Raw genomic sequence first — 27,823 nt, forward strand, 5'->3', positions numbered from 1 at the left:
TTGTCTCATACACACACACACACACACACACACACACACACACACACACACACACAAAAAGAAGCAGAAGTTAACAACTTCTGAATGCTGGAGTAAGTTCACTTATTAAAATTAAAAATTAATAGTATCCTAATAGCATCTTTTACTCTCTAATCAAGGTTAGTCCCCTGAGTCTATCCTTACCCTTAAACACACAATCACATAGCATTTATATCTACTTTTTGTTTTCTTTATTCAAATAATGCTCTCACCTCTATTTTTAAGTGGCTAAAATCAGCATTTTTAATGCAAATATTAAAGTAAGCACCATAACATTATATAAAACAGTTTAAATGAAGAATTGAATTAGAATGTTATATTCTAATTTTTTCTATGAAAAGGATCGTTAGTTTTGCAAAAAGAATTTAAAAATCAAAAGGCAGACTTAACAAAAAGAGAAGCCCATTCACCCCTAGGTTCTTTGACTTCTTTTTATCAGATGATTATACCATCTGCCTTTAGCAAAAAACCTTCAAAATTTGCACCTTAAAATACTCTAACAAAGTGGTAACATAGGGAAAACTGCCAACATTTTTAATCAGACATCAAGTGATGGTATATGTATGTGGGGTATGTGGTCTCAAGTGTTTATTTTCTTTAGGAGCAAAGAAATGTAATAATTGTTTCCATAATAAGAAAAATATGAAATCATTTCACTGGGATAAGGGTGGAGTATACTATCTTTAATGTAATTTACATGTTTAAACTCTACATACATAAAAACAAATATTTCATAAGAATCTCTAGAATTCCCTAAAGTAAACTATGATTTCTTTTTTTTTTTTTTTTGAGACAGAGTTTCTGTCACCCAGGCTGGAGTGCAGTGGTGTGAACTCGGCTCACTTCAACCTCTGCCCTCCGGGTTCAAGTGATTCTCCTGCCAGCCTCCTGAGTAGCTAGAATTACAGGCATGAGCCACTGTGCCCAGCTATTTTTTTATAAAATAATATACCACCAATATTTTCTCATACACGGTATTAAGTGATAGTACTCTGGTTACTTTAAGGTGTCACTTCTGGTATATTTATCAAAAGGAGACAGAAATCCAATAGCTGGCAATGACACAGCAACAGTTACTGAAAAGAACTGTTAATATTATCTGAAAGATTAAAATTACATCTTGCTCCTTTAATTTTCAACTCATCTGAAAAATGAGGGCCTGAAAAGTACTGTGTTTATCACCACACTAAACCTGGCCACAAGGCACCCTATATTCACACTTCATGTTCCTGTAACTATTTACACATTGTCTATAAAAAGTTCCTTGTTTCACCTGAAAAGCAACACAGACTAGCATTCATATCTACTGAAAGCCATCATGACCTATGTAATTGTGCAGCATGAACAAAGAGGCCTTTATAAAGCCAAAGGCAAAGCTCTTAGTAACAACCTGTTTCAGCTGAGACAAGCTGACCTCCGCTTCTGAAATTATACTTAATCATTCACCAAAATAGCTGCATATAATAAACCACTTAAAGCAGCTTTTTAAAAAAAAGGTAAAGGGGGTTGGGTGCAGTGGCTCACACCTGTAATCCTGGCACTTTGGGAGGCTGAAGAGGAAGGATCACTTGAGCTCAGGTAGTTGAGACGGCAGTGAGCCATGATAGTGCCACTGCATTCCAGCATAGGCAACAGAGTGAGACCCTGTCTCCCCCAGCAAAAAAAAAAAAAAAAAGGGAAAAGAAGGTAGGGGCTAATTTTCTATGAATTCCCTTTTACACTTAATTCACTTTCAATGCTTGTACTTTCAAATGTTTCAATGTTTTTAAAAATGAAGTCTTAAGTCTTGATTCTGGCAGATAGTTCTAGAATTAGCACTAGTCCAATTTCAGAGGTGTTTATTGCAACCATTAAGAAACCATTCTATTTTCATTTAAGTCAAAAATACTTTAAAAGTTAACTTAAAACTTTGACAGTTTGCTTGAATGTTGTTCTCACATGTACCAGGAAGGATCTCAAGGTGTTAATATCCCAAAAGAGTATTCACAGGTTGTCAATAAGAATCCCTACTGTGCTGGATCATTAGTTCTCAACATTATATGTATTACCATCCACCTCTAAAGTCTCCTCTGCATAGCACAGAGTTTACTTTTTTCCAATGAAAGAAACTTCAAAATTAAAGAGATATCATTACTCTTAAGCAATCATGATATCCAGACACCACCATCTTAAGTGGTAAGTAAGATCCCACTTACCACCACAGGTTAACATGAAGGGATCTTTCCCAGAGACTAAAGAGCTGGGGCAATTTATTGGCAAACTTTTGAGAACCATATACTTCAAGACTATACTCATTAAATAATTGCTTCCCTGATCTTCAGAATGCAACCTTCCCAACATACTCTTACTGAGCTCTTTGCACATTTAATTGTTACATCAAATTCCTTTGTCTGATAATAGCTCAGTCTTCCTGAGCTCAAACGAATACATCTACCTTCTTTATTTTTAAACTAAAATCTTTTTATAATCATTTTTTAAATGCAAAAAATGGCAAGGAATGGAGAAGACCTCAAAGGTCTTCTCTCAAGCTTCTAACAGCTCATTTCAAATATTTGCTGAGCACCTACTCTGAGCCAGAAACAGTGCTAGTACATAAGGACACAGCCTCTGTTCTTTTTAAAGTAATTAATCAGAAAAGACATTCCCATAAGTAAAAAGATTCCAGTATGTGTCATGTGTAATGATTGACCTATGTGTCAGGAAATAATGAGTTATCCTGAGGGAAACATGCTAAAATGTCACCAGTGATGAGTCTGAGTGATTACTTCCTAAGCTCCTTTATCTTTTCCAGATTTTCTATGATATGTTATAATATGCATTTACTGCTTTTACAGCCTGAATAAAAATCTAAATAACCAAAATAAAATAATAGGAATAGTACTAGTAACATTTATTGACTTTTATTATATACCCTGTGTGCTACATGCTTCACATACATTATCTCACTTAATAGAATCACCCTATTTAAAAAAAGACCATTATCCATATTTTAGAGAGGAGGGAGCCAAAATATGAAATAATTTGCTGGAAATGTCTTTTCAGCTAGAATTTTTACTTATTTCCTCAGAAATAAGCAGGTGTTGAGACAAAAACAATCAGCTGTGTAAACAGAAAGAGTTGGAAATAGGTGTCATTTGTTGGATGTATAACCATAAGCAAGCAACTTAATCTCAGCGAGCCTCAGTTTCTCCTACTGTATTGTATTGTAAATGATTTAGTAGGCCCTAACTCATTTAGGGTTCTCAAGAGTAAATGATATTATGTATTAAAAAATAAAGAATTCTGTCTGGCAAATAACTGACAACAGAATGCTAGTATCAGTATCTTCATCAGTATAGTCAGCCAAAAAACTTGGGCAAATTATTTAACATCTCTGGGTTCAGTTTCTCTACCTGTAAACTGGGGATAAAAATACCTACACCATGCAGTAACTATGAGAATTACATGAGATAATACACAGTACAGTGCCTGGCATGTGATACAACAGTCAAAACAGCTATTGTAATTCTCCACAAGCCAAACAAAATGGGGCTGGCTAAATAAGGTACAGTACATGCATATGATGAAATACTTTGCTGTTGAATATGTAAGGACATGATAAAAATATCGACAATGTATAGCTGTTTAAAAATTATGTAGAGTAAAATTCTTGTTTTAAAAATATATGAATATACATTACAAAATATAAGAAAAGTAACAATAATACATTCCAAGATCTACAATTTGTGGATCTTTTTTTTTTAACTAACCCAGTTAAAAAAAAATTAAACAATTCTCACTGTTACCACCACCACTGTATGAAGCAAGACATTAAAACAACAATTTTGGCTGGGCGCAGTGGCTCATGCCTGTAATCCCAGCACTTTGGGAGGCCGAGGTGGGTGGATCACGAGGTCAGGAGATCAAGACCATCCTGGCTAACACAGTGAAACCCTGTCTCTACTAAAAATACAAAAAATTAGCAGGGCATGGTGGCGGGCGCCTGTAGTCCCAGCTACTTGGGAGGCTGAGGTGGGAGAATGGCATAAACCCGGGAGGCAGAGCTTGCAGTGAGCCGAGATCGCGCCACTGCACTCGAGCCTGGGCGAGAGTGAGACTCCATCTCAAAAAAAAAAAACAAAAACAATTTTAAAATTTCCATATCAATGTATTCAGACAAGCAGGAGTATCATGCCCACATACCCCATTCCATTCCATTCCATTATCACCAGGATTCTCTAACATATATATATTCTTCTCTGAACATTAAAAAAAGGGATTCACTTTCAAACTTCAAAGTAAGAGAAAAGGAGGCTATTTTGTTTCTAAGACATACATTTTTATTTCCCACAATTCCAGGCTTTCACATTTTGTATTGTTTAATACAGAAAAATTATTCTGACTAAAAATAGGAATACAACAACATTTCCACAAGGGCAAATTCACCCCAAAAGACTGAGAATTCTAATTCTTAAAGGGAATAAAAATTAATGCCACACGCAGTGGCTCACACCTGTAATCCCAAAATTCTGGGAGGCTGACGCAGGTGGATCATGAGGTCAGGAGTTCGAGACCAGCCTGGCCAGCATGGTGAAACCCCATCTCTACTAAAAATATAAAAAATTAGCCGGGCATGGTGGCGTGCACCTGTAGTCCCAGCTACTCAGGAGGCTGAGGCAGGAGAATTGCTTGAACCTGGCAGGCGGAGCTTGCAGTGAGTTGAGATCACACCGATGCACTCCAGCCTGGGAAACAGAGTGAGACTCTGTCTCAAAAAAAAATTAATTTTTAAAATGAATATTTCACAATATAGGTGACACTAAAGTCACAATTCTGAGACTGTGACCAGAGAATAGTGTCATTAAATAAACAAAATGAAATAAAAAAATTATAGTTTCTTAATTTCTAAAAAATTAATAGGCTAACATGAAAGGTGATATTCAGTAAAAGGTAGAAATAATTATCAGAGATACTGAAAAAATATGAATCCTGGCTTGGAAAAAACATATTAAATATTATATTGTAAAATAGTTAAGAAATGCTATTTCATTAATTTCAGGGTTTTACCTCTTTCTCTTCCTACTTTCATTGCAAATTATATATCACTCAAATTAATAACAGTTAACCACTGACTACACATGGATATGCAACATTCATTCAGCCTTGAAGGTGGGAAAGAAAAGAGAATTCTCAAAAGCATAGAAATCGCTCTCCCTCTCCCTCTCCCTCTCCCTCTCCCCTCTTTCCACGGTCTCCCTCTGATGCCGAGCCGAAGCTGGACTGTACTGCTGCCATCTCGGCTCACTGCAACCTCCCTGCCTGATTCTCCTGCCTCAACCTGCCGAGTGCCTGCGATTGCAGGCGCGCGCCGCCACGCCTGACTGGTTTTCGTATTTTTTGGGAGGAGACGGGGTTTCGCTGTGTTGGCGGGGCTGGTCTCCAGCTCCTAACCGCGAGTGATCCGCCAGCCTCGGCCTCCCGAGGTGCCGGGATTGCAGACAGAGTCTCCTTCACTCAGTGCTCAATGGTGCCCAGGCTGGAGTGCAGTGGCGTGATCTTGGCTCGCTACAACATCCACCTCCCAGCAGCCTGCCTTGGCCTCCCAAAGTGCCGAGACTGCAGCCTCTGCCCAGCCGCCACCCCGTCTGGGAAGTGAGGAGCGTCTCTGCCTGGCCGCCCATCGTCTGGGATGTGAGGAGCCCCTCTGCCTGGCTGCCCAGTCTGGAAAGTGAGGAGCGTCTCTGCCCAGCCGCCATCCCATCTAGGAAGTGAGGAGCGCCTCTTCCCGGCCGCCATCCCATCTAGGAAGTGAGGAGCGTCTCTGCCCGGCCACCCATCGTCTGAGATGTGGGGAGCGCCTCTGCCCTGTCGCCCCGTCCGGGATGTGAGGAGCGTCTCTGCCCGGCCGCCCCGTCTGAGAAGTGAGGAGACCCTCTGCCTGGCAACCGCCCTGTCTGAGAAGTGAGGAGCCCCTCCGCCCAGCAGCCGCCCTGTCTGAGAAGTGAGGAGCCCCTCTGCCCGGCAGCCACCCCGTCTGGGAAGTGAGGAGCCCCTCTGCCCGGCCAGCCGCCCCGTCCGGGAGGGAGGTGGGGGGGTCAGCCCCCCGCCCGGCCAGCCGCCCCGTCCGGGAGGTGAGGGGCGCCTCTGCCCGGCCATCCCTACTGGGAAGTGAGGAGCCCCTCTGCCCGGCCAGCTGCCCCATCCGGGAGGGAGGTGGGGGGGTCAGCCCCCCGCCGGGCCAGCCACCCCATCCGGGAGGTGAGGGGCGCCTCTGCCTGGCCGCCCCTACTGGGAAGTGAGGAGCCCCTCTGCCTGGCCAGCCACCCCGTCCAGGAGGGAGGTGGGGGGGGTCAGCCCCCCGCCCGGCCAGCCGCCCCATCCGGGAGGGAGGGGGGGCGTCAGCCCCCCGCCGGGCCAGCCGCCCCATCCGGGAGGTGAGGGGCGCCTCTGCCCGGCCGCCCCTACTGGGAAGTGAGGAGCCCCTCTGCCCGGCCAGCCGCCCCGTCCGGGAGGGAAGTGGGGGGGTCAGCCCCCCGCCCGGCCAGCCGCCCCGTCCGGGAGGGAGGTGGGGGGGTCACCCCCCGCCCGGCCAGCCGCCCCGTCCGGGAGGGAGGTGGGGGGGTCAGCCCCCCGCCCGGCCAGCCACCCCGTCCGGGAGGTGGGGAGCGCCTCTGCCCGGCCGCCCCTACTGGGAAGTGAGGAGCCACTCTGCCCGGCCAACCGCCCCGTCCAGGAGGGAGGTGGGGGGGTCAGCCCCCCGCCCGGCCAGTCGCCCCGTCGGGGAGGTGAGGAACCCTCTGCCTGGCCGCCCCTACTGGGAAGTGAGGAGCCCCTCTGCACGGCCACCACCCCGTCTGGGAGGTGTACCCAACAGCTCATTTAGAACGGGCCATGATGACAATGGCAGTTTTGTGGAATAGAAAGGGGGGAAAGGTGGGGAAAAGATTGAGAAATCGGATGGTTGCCGTGTCTGTGTAGAAAGAGGTAGACATGGGAGACTTTTCATTTTGTTCTGTACTAAGAAAAATTCTTCTGCCTTGGGATCCTGTTGATCTGTGACCTTGCCCCCAACCCTGTGCTCTCTGAAACATGTGCTGTGTCCACTCAGGGTTAAATGGATTAAGGGCGGTGCAAGATGTGCTTTGTTAAACAGAGGCTTGAAGGCAGCATGCTCTTTAAGAGTCATCACCACTCCCTAATCTCAAGTACCCAGGGACACAAACACTGCGGAAGGCCACAGGGTCCTCTGCCTAGGAAAACCAGAGACCTTTGTTCACTTGTTTATCTGCTGACCTTCCCTCCACTATTGTCCTGTGACCCTGCCAAATCCCCCTCTGCGAGAAACACCCAAGAATGATCAATAAAAAAAAAAAATAAATAAAAATAAATAAATAAAAGCATAGAAATCACCCTTAATTACCCTTGCATCTTTTTTTTTTTATACTTTAAGGTTTAGGATACATGTGCACATTGTGCAGGTTAGTTACATATGTATACATGTGCCATGCTGGTGCACTGCACCCACTAACTCATCATCTAGCATTAGGTATATCTCCCGATGCTATCCCTCCCCCCTCCCCCCACCCCACAACAGTCCCCAGAGTGTGATATTCCCCTTCCTGTGTCCATGTGATCTCATTGTTCAATTCCCACCTATGAGTGAGAATATGCGGTGTTTGGTTTTTTGTTCTCGTGATAGTTTACTGAGAATGATGATTTCCAATTTCATCCATGTCCCTACAAAGGACATGAACTCATCATTTTTTATGGCTGCATAGTATTCCATGGTGTATATGTGCCACATTTTCTTAATCCAGTCTATCATTGTTGGACATTTCAGTTGGTTCCAAGTCTTTGCTATTGTGAATAATGCCGCAATAAACATACGTGTGCATTTGTCTTTATAGCAGCATGATTTATAGTCCTTTGGGTATATACCCAGTAATGAGATGGCTGGGTCAAATGGAAGAACATTCCATGCTCATGGGTAGGAAGAATCAATATCGTGAAAATGGTCATACTGCCCAAGGTAATTTACAGATTCAATGCCATCCCCATCAAGCTACCAATGACTTTCTTCACAGAATTGGAAAAAACGACTTTAAAGTTCATATGGAACCAAAAAAGAGCCCGCATCGCCAAGTCAATCCTAAGCCAAAAGAACAAAGCTGGAGGCATCACACTACCTGACTTCAAACTATACTACAAGGCTACAGTAACCAAAACAGCATGGTACTGGTACCAAAACAGAGATATAGATCAATGGAACAGAACAGAGCCCTCAGAAATAATGCCACATATCTACAACTATCTGATCTTTGACAAACCTGAGAAAAACAAGCAATGGGGAAAGGATTCCCTATTTAATAAATGGTGCTGGGAAAACTGGCTAGCCATATGTAGAAAGCTGAAACTGGATCCCTTCCTTACACCTTATACAAAAATCAATTCAAGATGGATTAAAGACCCTTGCATCTTAAAAGCTGCAAATTTCACAGAATCTCTAATACTGAGCAGATTCTCCCCAGAAAATGCATCTTTTCTCAATTTACAAAGGTTCAAGATATCTGAACAGTGAAATACAATCAAGATATCTGAATATATGAAAAGCAAATTATTTTAGTACTGTTCTCTCTTAGTGTCCACAAAGTAAGCCTCAGTAACTCACAGATTTTATTTTCAGTATTCTAATACTGTCTCCCTCTACTGTATAAAAAGGAAATTGAAAGATTTTTATCATTTATTTCCCTTAAGACATAATTAAGAAAATTTCTTTCAATTTGTTTTCCCCCAAATAGTTTTTAGAGTTCATAATCTAACAAGAATATATTTGTGTGTGTGTGTATATATATATATATATATATATATATATATATATATACACATAAAATACCTAAATATGTACATATATATATACATAAAATACATAAAATATGGAGATTCCAGGGTCAGGACAAGAAAAATAATCATCCTTTAGAACAAATCCTTAGAATCCAAGTTCTTCAATTCAAAATTTAGAAAAAGCTAAGCAAAGACGCACTAGCTTGGTTGGGAGTCAGAAATGTTATGTATGTCTCCTGGGCCAGGCTGAGCAATTTAGTTAACTAGGTAAACTTGGGGAAAGATTTAGAGTCCATTAACTTCAGATTTTTTTCCACCTGCAAAACTAAAAATAAAAATACTCTGCCAATGTCACAGAACTAAAACTAGAACCCAATTTTGATTCATTCACTGAATTAAGCACCCACTGCACAATACACACAGCAAGGGCTGCCAAGTTTAGCAAACAAAAATACAATACAGAACATACTTATATAATAAAAAATTAGGCCAGGTGCAATGGCTCACGCCCATAATCCCAACACTTTGGGAGGCCAAAGCGGGCAGATCACTTTAGGTCAGGAGTTCGAGTCCAGCCTGGCCAACATAGTGAAATCCCCGTCTCTACTAAAAATACAAAAATTAGCCAGGCGTGGTGGCATGTGCCTGTAATCCCAGCTACTCAGGAGGCTGAGACAGGAGAATTGCTTGAACCAGACAGGCAGAGGTTGCAGTGAGCCGAGAACGGGCCACTGCACTCCAGCCTGGGCAACAGAGTGAGACTCTATCTCAAAAAAAATAAAAATAAAAAATTCATTGTTTATCAGAAATACAAACTTAATTGAGCATGTTGTACTTTATCTGGGAACCCTAACTGAGGCACATACAAAAATACAAATAAGACATGCTTCTTATCCTCAAAGACTTACATAGGCACGAGGGATATGAAATGTATATATAAACGAGCTACTATACAAGGAAGAAAAGTAGTTACTTACATTAAAGAGGAAAGGGGAAGAAAAGGCAAATTGAGAACATAGTAAGTAGGATTGAAGAATGGTTAAAATCAACAAATGCAAATTCAAAACAGAAAAAAGAATGAGAGATGAGAGTGCTTAATTACATCCTCAACTCTAGCCACACAGATCTATGTATTTACCACACATGCTATTCTTCCACCAGTATATGAGATGGCTCAGTAATACAAGTTCTTAAGTCATTTATCATTTATTCACAATGTAATTTACTTCAAATGGACCTGCATTAGCAATCTCTTGATAGACATAAACCAAAAAAATCAAATTCATAACTTTCAGAACTATATCCCTTTCAAATCTACCTAGAGTTTTGTGCTTAATTACTCAAAATTATTTTATTAAGCAAATTCTACACTATGTGGATAGGACCAGGGACAGACCAAAATCCTGATAAGGGCCGAGCATCGTGGCTCATGCCTATAATTTCAGCACTTTGGGAGGCCAAGGTGGGTGGATCACCTAAGGTCAGGAGTTTGAGACCAGCCTGGCCAACATGGTGAAACCCCATCTCTACTAAAAATACAAAAATTAGCCAGGCGTGGTGGCATGTGCCCATAACCCCAGCTACTCAGGAGGCTGAGGCAGGAGAACTGCTTGAACCCGGGAGGTGGAGGTTGCAGTGAGCTGAGATCGTGCCACTGTACTCCAGCCTGGGCAACAAGAACAAAACTCTGTCTCAAAAAAAAAAAAAAAATCTTGATAAGATTTCATCTCTTTTCTCACTTTCTATTGTCCCAAGAGCTAGTTCATAAATCTGCCTCATAATTAACCAGCTCTGTTATTGACAATCTTTAAATAAATAAATAGGCAGATCCTTTTTAGCTAGATGCAAAAAACTACTTCACTTTGCACTTCCTGCTCCAACCCTCTGAACCTGTCTCCTTTCTGAAGGCCCAGTTACCATTCTCCATGACACAGACCAACCTGATCCTATTCCACAATAGGAAATTTCACATGTCCTTAGAACTTCAAGTTAATAAATAGTAACACAGTATGCTACATGACTTTGTATAAAGAAGGAGTACTGGCCAAGCGCCGTGGTCCACACCTGTAATCCCAGCGCTTTGGGAGGCCAAGGCAAGTGGATCACTTTAGGTCAGGAGTTTGAGACCAGCCTGGCCAACAATGGTGAAATCCCATCTCTGCTAAAAATATATAAATCAGCCGGGCATGGTGGTGGGCTCCTGTAGCCCCAGCTACTCAGAAGGCTGAGGCAGGAGAATTTCTTGATCCCAGGAGGTAGAGGTTGCAGTGAGCTGGGGTTGCACCACTGTACTCCAGCCTGGACAACAGAGCAAGACTCTGTCTCAAAAATAAATAAATAAATAAAACACAAAAAAGGAGTAGTAATGGAAAAAGCCTACCTATACCATTTATTCTCATTAACTGATTTATCATTATACCTTCATATAATTTTACAGCTGAAAGGACTCCAGAGCTCATTTGGTCCACGGACTTCCTTTCAAAGGTACTGAAAATTTAGTCATAGTCATTTTGTGCCTAGACTAAATTCACGGGGCAAGCAAAGATCCAGAGTCAGATTTCTTGGTTTTCAGTTCACTACTTTTCTTACTAAACTATTATCTACATTTTTTTTTTAATTGAGGCAGAGTCTCACTCTGTTACCCAGGCTGGAGTGCACTGGCATGATCTCGGCTCACTGCAACCTCTGTCTCCCGGGCTCAAGTGATTCTTCTGCTTCAGCCTCCCGAGTAGCTGGGATTACAGGTACACACCACCACGCCCAGCTAATTCTTATATTTTTAGTAGAGATGGGGTTTCACCATGTTGGGTAGGCTGGTCTCTAACTCCTGACCTCAGGTGATCCACCCAACTCGGTCTCCCAAAGTGCTGGGATTACAGGCATGAGCCACTGTGCCTGGCTATTATCTACATATTTTGAGTGATAGTTAAATATTATCTGAATATTAATTCTATTGTATATCTTTTATTTCATTTTGAAAATATAAAGGAATCTAAAACTTACTTAAACTGTAATTTAAATTATTCATTGTTCCCTCATAATAAAGTAACATAAAATTCAGCTTAATTAAAAAACAAAACAAAAAAAGCAGATTTGTCTTTATAGTAGTTTGTACTTTTTTTTTTTTTTTGAGATGGAGTCTTGCTCTGTTGCCCAGACTAGAGTGCAGTGGCATGATTTTAGATCACTGCAACCTCCACTTCCCAGGCTTCAGGGATTCTCCCACCTCAACTTCCTGAGTAGCTGGGATTACAGGCACCCACCACCACACCTGGCTAATTTTTGTATTTTTAGTAGAGACAGGGTTTTCACTATATTGGCCAGGCTGGTCTTGAACTCCTGACCTCAACTGATCCACCTGTGTCAGCCTCCCAAAGTGTTGGGATTACAGGTGTAAGTCACTGCACCCAGCCTAAAAAGTGTTTTAAAGAAATAGAATATATATTAGCAGGCTTGGTGGGGTGACATGCACCTGTAGTCCCAGCTACTTGGGAGGCTGAGGTAGGAAGACTGCTTGAGTCCAGGAGTTTGAGGCTGCAGTGAGCTATGATGGCACCACTGCACTCTAGCCTGTGTAACAAAGCAAGACCATGTCTTAAAAAAAAAAATTAAAAGTTACTTTTATTCAATTCTACCATAATTTTTAATAATTGAACAGACTCAAAGGTCTTCATGTCCAAAACAATAAACATTACACTGAATTAGGGATAAACATTTCCAATTTTCCTTAACTTTTGTCTTAGCCTATCATAAAAAGCCCTACAAGTGACTCAAACTGTTGGACCTAAATAAATGTAATTTATTTAGGTTTTAGTAAGGAACAGATAAATAATCATTTTGTTCATACTAAAACATACCAAATCAATTTTAACCACACAATTCATTGAAATAGCCCAATAAGTTTCATGACTAGAAACTTCTATATTTATCAAAAAATGATTTTATTTCACTTCCTAGAGGAACCAGTACTTAAATGGAATTGCTTAATATTTAACTGACAGAGAGCTCTTCCTGAGTCCTGATTTGGTACTTGAAATTTAATATAAGTAAATAAAAACATGAAGAATGAAAACTCTGGACTTAACATCTCAGATTCTGGGCCTACTAAAACATAAAAAGGAAGCATTTTCAGGTAACAATACATTTATAGGCAAAGGTATTTATATGATTTTTATTGCACAAACATACTGATTAAGCAAGCCAATTCTCCATACCTTTCAACTAAAGAAAAGTGGTTTCATTTTGCCTCCTGCATTCATTTTAGACTCCTTAGTGATTTCTTTTTTTGTGCCGGAGTCTCATTCTGTCACCCAGGCTGGAGTGCAGTGGCATGATCTCGGCTCACTGCAACCTCCGCCTCCTGGGTTCAAGCCATTCTCCTGCCTCAGCCTCCCATGTACCTGGGACTACAGGCATGCACCACCACGCCCACCTATTTTTTTAGTAGAGATGGGGTTTCACCATGTTGGCCAGGATGGTCTTGATCTCCTGACCTCGTGATCCGCCCACCTTAGCCTCCCAAAGTGCTGGGATTACAGGTGTGAGCCACCATGCCCAGCCTAGACTCCTTAGTAATTTCTTACTGATATGCCATACAAGCAAATCCACCCAAATCTCCTTTTCAACATAAGAAGCTAGGCAAAACCAGTGTATTTTTGGAAGTCTATATTTAAGGAAACATGTATTATTTAAAATAAATTATAAAGGTAAAAACAAATTTGCTTAAACCAAAAAATTTCAAGTGCTTACTTCTTTTTAAATTGAAATACCATGGGAGACCTACATACCATTCTGAGCTTCTTGACACCTTTTAATTCAGTCACTGAAATTAAAATCTGCACCTAGAAAGAAAAAAACTATCACATCACTCATCTGCACAACCTATTAATCAACAAATAATTATTAAATACCTACTGCATCCCAGGCACTGTTCTTGGCACTGGGGAGTCAGCAGTGAATAAAACCTGTCTTAACAGAACTTAATTGCAAACTCTGTTATAGCTATGAATATACCAACAGTTTAACATTTAGTTGTTCATCCTGAAACATTTTGATTTTTTTAAATTAATTTTAACTATAGTCAACCTTACTAATTTCACAGATATAAATAATGCAAATTTCCCTCAACCCCTTTGCCCTTAGAGAAGCTTCCTCATACACACAACAAAGTCAGAACTAAATCAGACTCCCAATATGCCATTAGTTAGGTTGGGGAGGAGGCTTGGTAACTGAGAGCTGAGTTGAGGTCCCTAAGCCTTTCCCAGCCCCAGCTTGCTCTTCAATGCAGCTACCTATTCAGTCTACTATTCTCTCAGTGGCTTTATCTGTTACCATGCCTTTCCTACCAACACCGAGAAGCATCTTTAAATTCTGTGAAGTTTTGTCATATCTCCAAGTTACAGGGCAGTTGAGAGGCTACAGGTGATAAATTTTATGCTTACAGATAATAGTGTAAATGTATCCATAAACAAATTTTTCATTTCTGGGGACACAGAACAATGACTACATTTAAACACAGTGCATAGTAAAATATGTAACTGCAGGCAAGAGCAATCTGGAAATTTTAAATTAAAAATTTCTTAAAACAAAATTTTCTAATTTACTAATTTATAAAAGAAATATAACTACATGGGCCTTAATAAAAAATGTAAATACACTCTCACACACACCATATTCTAGAGAAGAACTATTACATCAAAATCCTAGCTTTGAATAACTTATTATTTTAAATAATCAGTAACTAAAACCAAGCAATCTATCACACAGAGAGGGGAAAAGGTAATATTCTGAGTTATAAATGTTTTACCCTGTCTGATAAAAATAGAAGCATAAAAGTTTAACTTAAATTTTTCCTGGATTTAAATTTATAGATAAATTTGTTTTTCAGTGAAATATCCTTAATAGCAATTTTACCAAGGAGGCCTTCTTCTGAAGGCCACCTCTGAAATAATTAGAGAATAAATGTCAATGGCATGATATTAAGATATTATTCGGGTGGGCACAGTGGCTCATGTCTGTAATCTCAGCACTTTGGAAGGCTGAGGCGGGCGGATCACAAGGTCAGGAGTTCAAGACCAGCCTGACCAATGTGGTGAAACCCTGTCTCTACTAAAGATATAAAAAATTAGCCGGGTGTGGTGGCATGCACCTGTAATCCCAGCTACTTGGGAGGCTGAGGCAGGAGAATCACTTGAACCCAGGAGGCAGAGGTTGCAGTGAGCTGAGATCGCACCATTGCACTCCAGGCTGGGCGAGACTCCGTGGAAAGAAATAAAGAAAAAAGAAAGAGAAAGGGAAGGAAGGAAGGAGAGAGAAAGAGAGAGAGAGAGAAAGAGAGAAAGACAAGAAAGAAAGAAAGGAAGGAAGGAAGGAAGGAAGGAAGGAAGGAAGGAAGGAAGAAAAGAAAGAAAGAAAGAAAGAAAAAGAAATTATTCATTCAAGAAAAGCATTTAGGGGCCAGATGCAGTGGCTCCTGTCTGTAATGCCAGCATTTTGGGAGGCCAAGGCAGTAGGATCACTTGAGGCCAGGAGTTCAGAGACCAGTCTGGGTAATGTAGCAAGACCTCATCTCTACAAAAAAATATTTAACGAATTAGCTCAGTGTGGTGACACATGCCTGTAGTCCCAGCTACTCAGGAGGCAGAGGCAGAAGGATGGCTTGAGCCCTGGAATTCAAGGCTGCAGTGAACTATGATGGTGCCATTGCACTCAAGCCTGGGTGACAGAGCAAGACTCTGTGCCCCCAGCCCCCAAAAAAAGAAAAAAAAGAAAGGAATTTAGGCAGGAAACTTTTCTATTGCTCTTAAAAGTAGTAGGGCCTAGACATGCAGAGGATGAGGCCAGGCACAATGGCTCACGCCTGTAACTCCAACACTTTGGGAGGCCGAGGCAGGCAGATCGCTTGAGCCCAGGAGTTCAAGACCAGGCTTTACAACATGGCAAAACCCTGTCTCTGCAAAAAAAAAAAAAAAAAAAAAAAAGCAAAAATTAGTCAGATGTGGTGGCACGTGCCTGTAGCCCCAGTTACTTGGGAGGCTGGGGTGGGTGGATCACCTGAACCCAGGAGGAGGAGGTTGCAATGACCCAAGTTCGCACTATTGTACTCCAGCCTGGGCAAGAGTGACACCTTGTCTCAAAAAAAAGAAAAAGAAAAAAGAAAATGTAGAGAATGGTATGACTCATGTTTTTTCAGGGTTTTCAAATATGTATCAAGGCACTAGATAACCTGACTCTAGAATTTGCTAAGAGTGTAGATATGCTGTCTTGCTGACTGAATAGCCCTATTATTCACATGCCAAAACTGAAACTGGGATAAGCAAATTTGAGAATAAGTCCTATCACCCAGACCTTTCCTTTCCTAATTTGTAGCTTCCATTTGTGTAATGAGGCCTAAAATCCTTTTTTGAACAGGTATACAGCAGAAAAGCAAACCTTTAAAGCAGTACAGAGTAAGAATTTAACAGATAATATGTAAGAGCAGAGTTTCTTAACTCAGCACTACTGACACTTTGAACTAGATACTTCTCTGTTGGGCAGCACTGTCCTGGGCATTATAGGATATTTAGTAGCACCCCTGGTTTATATTCATTACATGTCAGTAGCTCATCCCCTATCCAACATTCATGATAACCAAAAATCTTTCAAACATTGCCTAAAGTTTCCTGGGAAACAAAATTGTTTCCAGTTAAGAACCACTGCTTTAGAGAATTGTGATAAAATTCTATCATAACATAAAGATAAAATAATAGTACAAGTAGGATTATGTAGTCTACAATTTTCTGGGATTACTCACAACCTCTATCTTAGTATTTTTCCAATTTTAAAATTCTTGCTCTCACAATTTCTATATATGTCTAGATATCTACACTGCTGTGATAATCTTCATATATTCCCCTAAAAAATATAACATTAAAAACTCACAATACTCTCAAAACTCTGTGTTTCTTCTGTACCCTCTCATAATTTATCAAACTATACACTTCACTTCTCTATAAGTGTTAAGATTTCCCATCTCAGCATTCTGAATAACTTAAAATGAACAGACTTCTGACCAAGAAAGCAAATTAAATTTTCATTTCTCCATTAGAAAAAAACAAAGCCAGACTAAATAGAGAGAGCATGTTAAGTGTTTCCATATGGCTTTTTACTTCTAATGGTAAGTTTATCTGTGGTTTAAATGCTAAAAGGCTGATTTAACCAATTTTAAGTGATCCCATATCTGCAATCAATATGAAGTGTAATTAAGATGAGAAAAATAGGTATTGGGTTTCTGTAATTAACTTGAGATTAACATTAACAAAATTCAGCTTTGGTATTTCAGACAGAAATGGATAAGTTTATAAAACTACAATTTAATTCTTACTATCTAATTTTTGTCCTTCTATAAAAGTTTCTAGAGAAGCAGCATAGTTTTTTTTAATGGTATTCACATATCCTGCATGAACATATTTAAAACAAATTAACACACACACAAGATCTGGAAAATAGCCTTCTTTCTAAATAAAAACATTTAGTATTTTCTATTGTTGAAAGAAAAAATTTATTTTAAGCATATGTTAGTAAGCCAAGAGACTTTCTAAAATACTGTTAACATCTAGTATAATTTCCAGTAAAATTCAATTTTAGAACTTACTTCAGAAGGAATTTCACTTTAATTATACATACTTGCTTATTCCAAAATATAATTATACAAAGGAATTAAAGCAGTTTCTTACTTAAAGAATAAAGTTACACTTATCAACAGAAACAAGATGGGATATAAAGCACATAGATACAGAGCTTTCATAGCATTAAATGTAGCCTATTCAGCTTGGTTGAATAATAGGATGTTCACCAGTCAGTTAAATAGAGTAAATTCCAAATGATAAACAAAAAAGGAATGTGAAATGCATCAGTTTCATCTATACCCTGCAGTTATTTCAATCATCACTATTTTAAAATATATTAAGTATAGATCTCCTATCACATATTATGGTTAACAAAATAATAGAACTATAACTTTATATTTAAAATTGAATCATATCTCTGCTATAATATGTATAAATAATTTTACTACTTATAAAGCTTACAATGAACTCATTCAACAAATTAAACATCTATTATTTACAGTCCAAGCTCAACAAAAAGAGTAGCTATTGCATACCCTTTTCTCAGCACAGCAGTGGAATTATTTGGATTGAGTTCACGAGACTTCTTTACATCAGCAACAGCAACTATGTAGAAAAAGATGGGTTTTTGGCCAGGCATGGTGGCTCATGCCTGTAATCCCAGCACTTTGGGAGGCCAAGGCAGGTGGATCACGAGGTCAGCAGATCGAGACTAGTCTGGCTAACATGGTGAAACCCCGTCTCTACTAAAAAAAAAATACAAAAAATTAGCCGGGCATGGTGGCACGCGCCTGTAGTCCCAGCTACTCAGGAGGCTGAGGCAGGAGAATTACTTGAACCTGGGAGGCAGAGGTTGCAGTGAGCCAAGATTGTGCCACTGCACTCCAGTCTGGGTGACAGAGCAAGACTCCGTCTCAAAAAAAAAAAAAAGAAAGAAAGAAAAAGATGGGTTTTTCATCAGTTATTTACAGATTCTAGCAAATACAAACAGAATATGGATCAGTTTTAGATTTCTAAGTTTTCAAGTTGGTAGAAATGCCAGATGGTTTTAAATTTGGAAAAGCTAATCCAAGACAGAATTCAAATAAATGTTACTCTTGTACCTTCCTTTTGGCTGAACATTTAGCTTCCTTCCTAAAGCTCTTCAGTCAATGAATACAACTGTGTCACAAAATTCATCTCCTTTTCTCATTAGCATCATCTATGTAATTTGGCCAGGTGCAGTGGCTCACACCTGTAATCCCAGCACTCTGGGAGGCCAAGGTGGGCAGATCACCTGTGGTCAGGAGTTTGAGACCAGCCTGGCCAACATGGTGAAACCCCGTCTCTGCTAAAAATACAGAATTAGCCGGGCATGGTGGCATGTGCTTGTAGTCCCAGCTACCTGGGAGGCTGAGGCAGGAGAATCGCTTGAACCTGGAAGGCAGAGAGTGCAGTGAGCTGAGATCATGCCACTGCACTCCAGCCTAGGCAACAAGAGCAAAAATTCGTCTAAAAAAAAAAGTCTTCAGTTTTTCCCTATCCAGATTCTTCATCAGAATAATTTTTAAAGTTACACAATACAGAAATACATTTTTTTTTTAGTATAGATAGGGTCTTGCTCTGTTGTCCAGGCTGGACTCGAACTCCTGGGTTCATATGATCCTCCTGCTTTGGCCTCCCAAAGTGCTGGGATTATAGGAGTGAGCCACCATGCCTGGCCACATTCTTTTTTATAAAAAAAAAAATACAAAGAAGAGCATTTCATTTTAATACTCTGTCAAATAGTAAATATGATACTAATTCTTTATCAGCCTACCCAATAACTACGAATGAAATCTATATACATTATCCACCCACTGAGGAAAAAGAGACATCCATAAAATTTAAATAGGTGTTGTTCAACATGTCTGTCACACTTGAGCTACTTTACCTTGTATGAAAGACCAATTTAAAAATCCTCAAAGACAACCTTTATTTTATTTGATTAATTGGCCATGGGTAAAATGTATAAGTAACTTATTAAAAAGGGACAATATACTTTATAAGAAAAACTACCACAGTAATTCCCAAGAAGAATGTGACAATAAGCTCTTTGACAATAATATTGTGTATCATCTGGTTTCTGTTCCAAAGCCTTAGTCAGCTCCTACAAAAACAAACATGTTGGGTGTCAGTAAAAGTTTTTAAAAAGCCATCAAATTCTAATTAAAACATAATTTTTAAACAAATAACTTATCAGAAACTATTTGGAGGAAAGATAACAGGGATGTAATCTTGGAGTGTTTCCTCATAAGAGGATCTCCCCTTCTCCTGCCCTTCCTCCCAAAAGTAGACAATCTAATATAGCATCTCTGTACTGTAAAGCATTTAGGGGCTGAGCACAGTGGCTCACACCTGTAACCCCAGCACTTTGGGAGGCTGAGGCAGGTGGATCACCTGAGGTCAGGAGTTCAAGACCAGCCTGGCCAACATGGTGAAACCCTGTCTCTACTAAAAATACAAAAATTAGCCAGGCATGGTGGCGCACGCCTGCAATCCCAGCTACTTGGGAGGCTAAGGCAGGAGAATCGCTTGAACCTGGGAGGCGGAGGTTGCAGTGAGCCGAGAACATGCCACTGCACTCCAGCCTGGGTGATAAGAGTGATACTCCATCTCAAAAAAACAACAACAAAAATAGCATTTAGTTCCTGGCCTATGGAACTCAATAAATGGTAATTATTATCACCTCACATATTCTGAAGAGTTTAATTGATACATATTGACCATTACAGATTTTGTCCTTCTAATTTGGAGAAGATTCAGACATCATATAGAATTTGAGTTTCCTAGAAAATGTGAAGCTGTCCAATAGCTGTCCAATAAAAAAAGACTAAAAGTTAAATCTAGAGCTCAGGGAGGTTAAGACAATCAATACATACACCATCAAGCTTACCTGGCCCTCTCTTAACCTCTATCAATAACACACAACTCTAATAAAATGCAATTAAACATTCTGTTCAAAGCCCAGATACAATCTAATAGATGGCTATAGTAACTGATCAAGAGTTAACATTAGACAGATTAAAACTTTTTCACCCTGTGCAGTCACAACATATAGGTGTGGCAGCTATAAAAATAATGATGTAAGAGATTACACAATTAGGGAGATCAAGGACAAGTGCAGGAACACTTTTATTTTCTGCCAACTGCCTACAAACTCTAGGGATTTGGTAGTTTTCTTAAATGGTAAAATTATTTCAATAGCCACATGTGTCACTGACTTTGCTTTAACCTAGTAGCATAATTATCACAAAGCAATGAATACAGATGCCCTTCAACTCACCTGGGGTCACATTCAATCAACAGAAAGAAAGTGTGGCTCAAACTAAGACAGCAAAGAAACTAAGATGCTACTTCAAGGGCCTCACATTGTACCTTGCAGGCTGTCATAAGAAATTTGGATCTTAGGTGTGATGGAAAGCCATGGAAAGTTCATTGTTAGTAGGAGAGTGACATGGTCCAGTTTACCCTTTTTAAATGTCTTTCTGGTTGCTGTATGGTGAATACATTATAACAAATCAGGACTGGAAACAGAGACTTCTTAGGAAACTTCTACATTAAGTCTAGGCTAGAAAAGGATGTTAGCCACAGAGGTGATGAGAAATACAATGAGCTGGAATATATTAGAACCAGCAAGACTTGCCAATGTGGGATAAGATAAATTGAAGATTACTCCAGGGTTTTGGGCTTACTTAGATCTATACCTGGCACCCAGTAAGCACTCAGTGAAAAGTATTGATTTCTCTCCTTGCAGACATTTTTCCGCCTTTCCCCCGGTCTCTAATTTGACTGCATCTCCTTTGCCACAAAATATAAAAACGTTTGCCTCTCCAGTCTTAATCTTCTCAAAGCCACTAGTAACCCCTTATCAAATCCAACAAGCTGAAAGATAAGGCCTTTCAGCTTACCATTCTGTTGCTTCTTAAAAACTAATGTTTTCCGGGCTAGGCGAGGTAGCTCACACCTGTAATCCCAGCACTTTGGGAGGCCGTGGCAGGTGGATCACCTGAGGTCAGAAGTTCGAGACCAGCCTGGCCAACATAGTGAAACCACATCTCTACAAAAAATACAAAAATAAGCCAGGCATGGTGGGTGCATGCCTGTAATCACAGCTACTTGGGAGGCTGAGGCAGGAGAATCGCTTGAACCCAGGAGGTGGAGGTTGCAGTGAGCTGAGATCGTGCCGTTGCACTCCAGCCTAGGTGACAAGAGCAAAACTCTGTCTCAAAAAATAAAAATAAATAAATAAATAAAAATTAAAAATCTAATGTTTTCCTTGGGCTTAGTACTTAGACTTCCTCCCTTTTAGAAACATTCTTCGACTCTTTAAGTGGTGTTGGGGCTTCACATATGTCTTGAATCATCCTGATGACTCAAGTCTATCTTAAGAGCCTAGACAGTGCTCCTGTGCAATATCAGCATAGTTTTCTCTAGAGTTCACCCGAAATGTCCCAGAGGCAATTCACATACAAATATTCAAAATCTAAAACTACTTCCTCTCTGCAAACCTATTCCCCCATGCTGAACGCAATCTTCTAAGTGCTATTATCCTAGGTGCTATTTAAGTGAAAGGCACCAAATCCTACTACATTCTCCCAGCCAGAAACTCAGGAGTCATCCCTTATATTCCAATCATCAAGTCCAGTGAATTTTACATAAAACAGCTCCCCTCCATGCCCTCAATCACTGCCCTACATGCAGATATTCATCTTTGACCTGGTCTGCATCACCATCTTCCTGCGATCCACTATCCCTTGTACCTCCTCCAACTCATTATCTACTCTGCTTTTAAAGTAGGTTTTGTAATTCAGAAAATTTCGTTTCCTTCCTCTAAATTCTTCACAGATCTCCATGATCATATGATAAAACCGAAAACCATCTGCTGAGATTTAATGCCTTTGATGGCCTGGCCTCTCTCCACTTGTTTAGCCTTTATCTCCTAGCACTTGCCTCCTCATATTTTATGTTCTAATACTACTGAACAACTTGTATTATTCCCAAAACAGAACAGTTATGTAGTCTTTACCATGTGCCTGGCATTGTACTAAGCATATAATACAGGGTACCTCACTTATCCTCATAATAACACTTTCAAGTAGGTCCTATTTGTTCCCATTTGACAGATGAGAAGTCTGCTCTGGAGTGATGACAGGAACCTTACTGAAGTTACACAGTTATCATGAAACCAGAATTTTGACCCAAGAGTCTCTGACTCCAGAGCCTGGACTCTTAACCACCACACATACTGCGCCTTGAACGATTCTCAAAATTCACACGTTTTCTCTCCCTACTGAATTTTGCAACCTCCTCTGTAAAGTTTTTAAGTCCCTCAGTCAGATTCTATTCTGCTATGCTCTTTTATACACAACCCCATTACAGTACCTTGTTTGTCTTTCCACTAGACTGAAAACTCACTTACTGAAGTTTTTTCATCCTTAGATTCCTGATTTCCAGTACAACATTCACCACTTAATGTTCATTCTTTGTTCAACGAATGAAAAATGTGAAATAGCATATGTGATAAGAACATTTCCCCTTTATTCCTAATTGGATGACCTTATATAAAATATACACATTTTAACTCACAAGATTCCAAGTAACCTGAATCCCAAATGGCGTTAAAGTAGCCCTTGGGAAAATCCAGGAGAAATACCCTCACATTCATCATCAAGGATTCAGCCCTACTTATCATTACCAATTATTTAATAATTTACATTGATCTGTTCATCTTTGTAAGGTCATCTCACAGTTTAAAAAGAACATTTCTTCTTAACACAGCTGGTTCTTATCATGATCATCCTCCCCACACCCAAGGTTTCTGATTAGGGGTCTGTGGTGGGTCCTGAGAATTTGCATTTCTAGGGCCAGGCACGGTGGCTCACGCCTATAATCCCAGCACTTTGGGAGGCTGAGGGGAGTGGATCATTTGAGGCCAAGAGTTTCAGACCAGCCTGGCCAACATGGTGAAACCCCATCTCTACTAAAAATACAAAAATCAGCTGGATGTGGTTACACGTGTCTGTAATCCCAGCTAATTGGGAGGCAGACGCAGGAGAATTGCTTGAACCTGGGAGGCGGAGGTTGCAGTGAGCTGAGATTGCGCCACTGCATTCCAGCCTGGGTGACAGAGCGACACTCCGTCTCAAATAAATAAATAATTTGCATTTCTAATATGTTGATGCTGCAGCTCATCTGAAGCCCACATCTTTAAGGACCACTGTTCTATAGCACTAGACTAAAATTTGGGAAACCTGTGTCCTGAGGTCCCCCTTCTGCGTGTAACTGGTGTGTCTCTATGACAGATCACTTGGATTTACTTGGGTCTCAGTTTTCTTTTTAAGAAATGGGGTCTCTTTATGTTGCCTAGGCTGGTCTTGAACTCCTGATCTCAAACTCCCAGTCTCGTGATCCTCCCACCTCCGCCTCCCAAAGTGGTAGGATTACAGGCATGAGCCACCACACTCAGCCAGGTCTGCTTTCTTATGTACACTGTGAAAAGGAAGAGTAAGAAGTACTGGACTACATGAGTCATAAGGACTTTTTTTTTTTTTGAGGCGGAATCTCACTCTCTCACCCAGGCTGGAGTGCAATGGTGTGATCTCGGCACACTGCAACCTCTGCCTCCCGGGTTCAAGCGATTCTCCTGCCTCAGCCTCCCAAGTAGCTGGGATTTCATGCACCTGCCACCATGGCCCAGCTAATTTTTTGTATTTTTAATAGAGACGGGGTTTCACTACGTTGGCCAGGCTGGTCTCAAACTCCTGACCTCAGGTGATCCACCTGCCTCGGACTCCCAAAGTGCTGGGATTACAGGCGTAAGCCACCAAGCCTGGCCCATAAGGACTTTCAGTAAGAATTTGCACTTCTGATGAATTGCAGGTAATCCTGATACTGCTGGTCCAAGAGCCACACATTAAAAACCAAGGTACTAGTGCTATCCATTAGTGCTATCCACATGACTATTCTATGCAATTCTACTCCTAGGTATATACAATCAAAAGAAAGAAATGCATGTGTTCACCAAAATACACACAAGAGTACTCACAGAAGCTTTATTTATACTAGCTAACAACTAGAAATAAACAAGATGTCCAATAAGAATAAATTGTGCTATACTTACATTTATACAACATATATTTATACAATTATACAATGGAATATTACACAGCAATGCAAAAGAACTACTGCTTCACACAATATGGATGTATACTCATGTAATGATTAAAGCAAAAACAGACTGCCTACATTGAACGAACCACCTACTATATGATTCTGTTTATGAGTCAAGAACAAGCAAAATGAGCTGATGGTGATGAAGGTGAAAACAGGAGTCAGCAGGACAGTAAGAAGAATTGCTGGCTGGGAAGGAGCATGAAGGAACTTTATAAATGGAGATGCTCTATATCTTGATCTGGGTGGTGTACATATACGTAAAAACTCATCAAACTGTAGAGTTAAAATTTGTGTTATTTACATATTATCATATATGTCTCAATAAAAAATTTAAGGCTGGGCACGGTCATACCTGTAATCCTAGCACTTTGGGAGGCTGAGGTGGGCGGATCACCTGAGATCAGGAGTTTGAGACCAGCCTGGCCAACATGGCGAAACCCCATCTCTACTAAAAAGTACAAAAATTAGCCGGATGTGGTGGTGTGCACCTGTAATTCCAGCTACTTGGGAGGCTGAGGCAGGAGAATCACTTGAACCTGGGAGGCAGAGGTGAGCCGAGATTGTGCCATTGCACTCCAGCCTGGGTGACAGAGTGAGACCCCGTCTCAAAAATAATAATAATAATAAGTAAAATAAGATGGAAAATGATAATGAAGTTCATTATATTAATATTCTTTAAAAGCAACTTTTTTTTTTTTTTTTGAGACAGAGTCTCTCTCTGTCACCCAGGCTGGAGTGCAGTGTCATGATCTCAGCTCACCGCAACCTCCGCTTCCCAGGTTCAAGAGATTCTCCTGCCTCAGCCTCCCGAGTAGCTGGGACAACAGGTGCATACCACTACACCTGGCTAATTCTTTTTTTGTATTTTTAGTACAAACAGCGTTTCAACATGTTGGCCAGGCTGCTCTCCAACTCCTAACCTCAAGCGATCCGCCCCACTTGGCCTCCCAAAGTGCTGGGATTACAGACATGAGCCACTGCGCCCAGCCTAAAAGCAACTTTTATATAAACTAGATTTCCAAAGGAAGCACTAGGCCTAACATGACAATTAAGAAATGTAAATTCAAAGTAATAGCTATCTAATATAAGGAATTATGGAGAAAAATTCTCACTGCTTCCTGTAACATTATCCCAAAACTGATCCCAGAAGACTTATTGCTGGTATCTAAAGGTCTATATATTTAGATTCAAAAAACATACCTGGACCCCAAAAGGCCTTACAGGACCTGGCTCCTAGTTTCCTGTCCAACCTTACCTCCTAATCAAATGGGCCCTCTAATAAAAAAGGGCCTTTTTGCTGCTCCATACACAGGCCCACTTCATTCCTACTTCAGGATCTCTGCACTGGCTCTTGGTCCTGACTGGAATGCTCTTTCCCCAGAGGTTCCAAGCTAATTCTCTTGTTCCTTCAGGTCTCTGCTCAAATATCACCTTAACAGAGCCTCTAGTACCCTGTGGCACATTTCTTATAAAAGCCATAGCTAGAAAAGACGCTGTCTTGCCTCAAATTGTTAACCTTACTTATGTTAGATCATAACAACAAAACAGGGTTTCCTTTTTTTCTGTGCTTTAAAGCAAAAAGAAACAAACAAAACAAAAAACAAAAAAGATCTCCTGTTAAAATTCTGTGACCCACAGCATCATTTATCTTTAGCTTAGTCTCTTCTTCAACTCTTATCAACTCTTGCTCTTTTACATTCCTTTACAGCTTTATAGTTTGTCTTCACTGCACACCTACAAGCAGTGATCTCTAGGTTAGCTAAGTATATAACTAAGACTAACCCATAGCAATGAGCGCCTTTGCACACAGCAACTCCTAAAAAATTTTTTGATAAATAAACAAATGAGTGAATAATGAACTATGACAAGACATCTGGAAAGTTTCCGGGACGTGAGGGAAGAGGTTTTTGTTCCAGTAGACTGACTTCATACCGACACTTTTACATAAGAATGGCAACAATGATTGTCAAAAGAAAAAATTAATTTTCATCGAGCCCAGAGTCCACTTTTCTCTTCTAGTCATTAAAAAAAAAAATCCTTTCAGCCCAACTGCAGATGCCAACCATGCTCCCAATAAATAGAGGAAGTTTTTCTCAGAAGCTTCAGGAATGCAAGAGTCTGGAAGTGGAAAGGGCAAGACAGGAGTCTGAGGTAACGCGGCTACCGTGAGAGAGAGAAAGGAGACCGAGAATCTCAATACTGGGGCTGAGACGCAGCATCACTAGAGCCTGAGTCCTAATCAGGCGGTGCTGGAAGGAGGCGGGTCAGCCGGGAGTGGAGGAAGCAGAAAAGGCTCTCCCACCTCTAACGCCGCCTGGGGGTCCTGGTCGATTAGAGCATCTGAGAAGCTCTGGAAAAACCTGTCAGGAAAACAACGACTTCAGCAGGGCCCACTAACCAAGGAAAGGGGTATAAAATAAATAGCAAAGGGAAGGAAAAACACGCACCTCTGGGATGCTGCAGGTCCTGCGGCAGCCGCCGCCATTCCTCGTAGTCAATGTTGCTGCCGCCGGAGCTGCTACTATCGCGCTCAGCAGCTCCGCCACCGACCAAGGGGGAAAACTTCTGCAGAAACATCAACCGAGCTTCCGTCTTAAGCAGCCAACGAGCAGCCACGCAGCGTGCTGCTAGCGGGACGGGAGGCGACACGCGGGCGCGTGGCCGGCTGGGACAGTGGAGGACCGAGTCCTCCCAGCCCGCAACCCGGCCCGGGACCTGCGCTCCCAGTCCCCGCCCATCGTAGCCATGTTTACGGAGGCCTGGGCCTACAGGTTCTCCCTCTTTTCCACCGCGCCCACGTCCGCGGGCACTCCGACCGAGCCTCCAGGAGTAGTAGCTCAGAAGCACTTTTGTAACATACTGTTATCCCTCAAGAACGTGTACGCGCAGGGGCGTTTCCTTGTCCGTTAATAACACAAGCTACAGGCCGAGCGTGGTGGCTCACACCTGTAATCCCAGCACTTTGGGAGGCCGAGACGGGTGGATCACGAGGTCAGGAATTCAAGACCAGCCTGGCCAAGATGCTGAAACCCCGTCTACTAAAAATATAAAAACTAGCCGGGCGTGGTGGCACGCGCCTGTAATCCCAGCTACTCGGGAGGATGAGGCAGGAGAATCCCTTGAACCCGGGCGGCAGAGGTTGCAGTAAGCCGAGATCGGACCAC

The 27,823-nt window shown here is 41.1% G+C and overlaps 2 pseudogenes across 3 annotated transcripts in view, besides 4 other annotated features; both read right to left on the reverse strand.

The window, feature by feature from the left end:
* The window catches only part of TPTE2P5 (TPTE2 pseudogene 5), a 124,766-nt pseudogene extending 97,528 nt beyond the window's left edge, over window positions 1-27,238 (reverse strand). For both annotated transcript variants that reach the window (NR_038259.1, NR_038258.1), the window contains exon 1: window positions 27,107-27,238. The product of NR_038259.1 is annotated as a TPTE2 pseudogene 5, transcript variant 2 (transcript). The remainder of the gene's footprint in view (window positions 1-27,106) is intronic.
* Window positions 16,970-17,677: an enhancer, noted in NCBI's record as "POU3F2 HCT overlapping SUGT1P3, chr13:40383618-40384325 amplified region (NCBI36/hg18 genome assembly coordinates)". NCBI's record gives its function as "activates a mouse minimal Fos promoter in transgenic zebrafish G0 embryos {active_cell/tissue: forebrain | midbrain | hindbrain | heart}" and the evidence as "EXISTENCE:transgenic organism evidence [ECO:0001131][PMID:20363979]".
* Window positions 17,145-17,419: a conserved region, noted in NCBI's record as "conserved region; HCT with multiple POU3F2 binding motifs". NCBI's record gives the evidence for it as "EXISTENCE:sequence alignment evidence [ECO:0000200][PMID:20363979]".
* Window positions 17,375-27,262, reverse strand: SUGT1P3 (SUGT1 pseudogene 3; annotated as a pseudogene). Its single transcript, NR_003365.2, has 3 exons — window positions 27,107-27,262; window positions 26,962-27,019; window positions 17,375-18,211 (listed from the first exon to the last, which is right to left on the reverse strand). The product of NR_003365.2 is annotated as an SUGT1 pseudogene 3 (transcript).
* Window positions 27,211-27,797: an enhancer, noted in NCBI's record as "H3K27ac hESC enhancer chr13:41495859-41496445 (GRCh37/hg19 assembly coordinates)". NCBI's record gives its function as "activates a minimal SCP1, AML or CMV promoter by ChIP-STARR-seq in primed H9 embryonic stem cells {active_cell/tissue: H9 hESC(primed)}" and the evidence as "EXISTENCE:reporter gene assay evidence [ECO:0000049][PMID:30033119]".
* Window positions 27,441-27,490: an enhancer, noted in NCBI's record as "active region_7617". NCBI's record gives its function as "activates an Ori minimal core promoter by ATAC-STARR-seq in GM12878 lymphoblastoid cells {active_cell/tissue: GM12878}" and the evidence as "EXISTENCE:reporter gene assay evidence [ECO:0000049][PMID:35858748]".

This window comes from Homo sapiens, chromosome 13 (assembly GCF_000001405.40).
Source record: "Homo sapiens chromosome 13, GRCh38.p14 Primary Assembly".
NCBI lineage: Eukaryota > Metazoa > Chordata > Mammalia > Primates > Hominidae > Homo > Homo sapiens.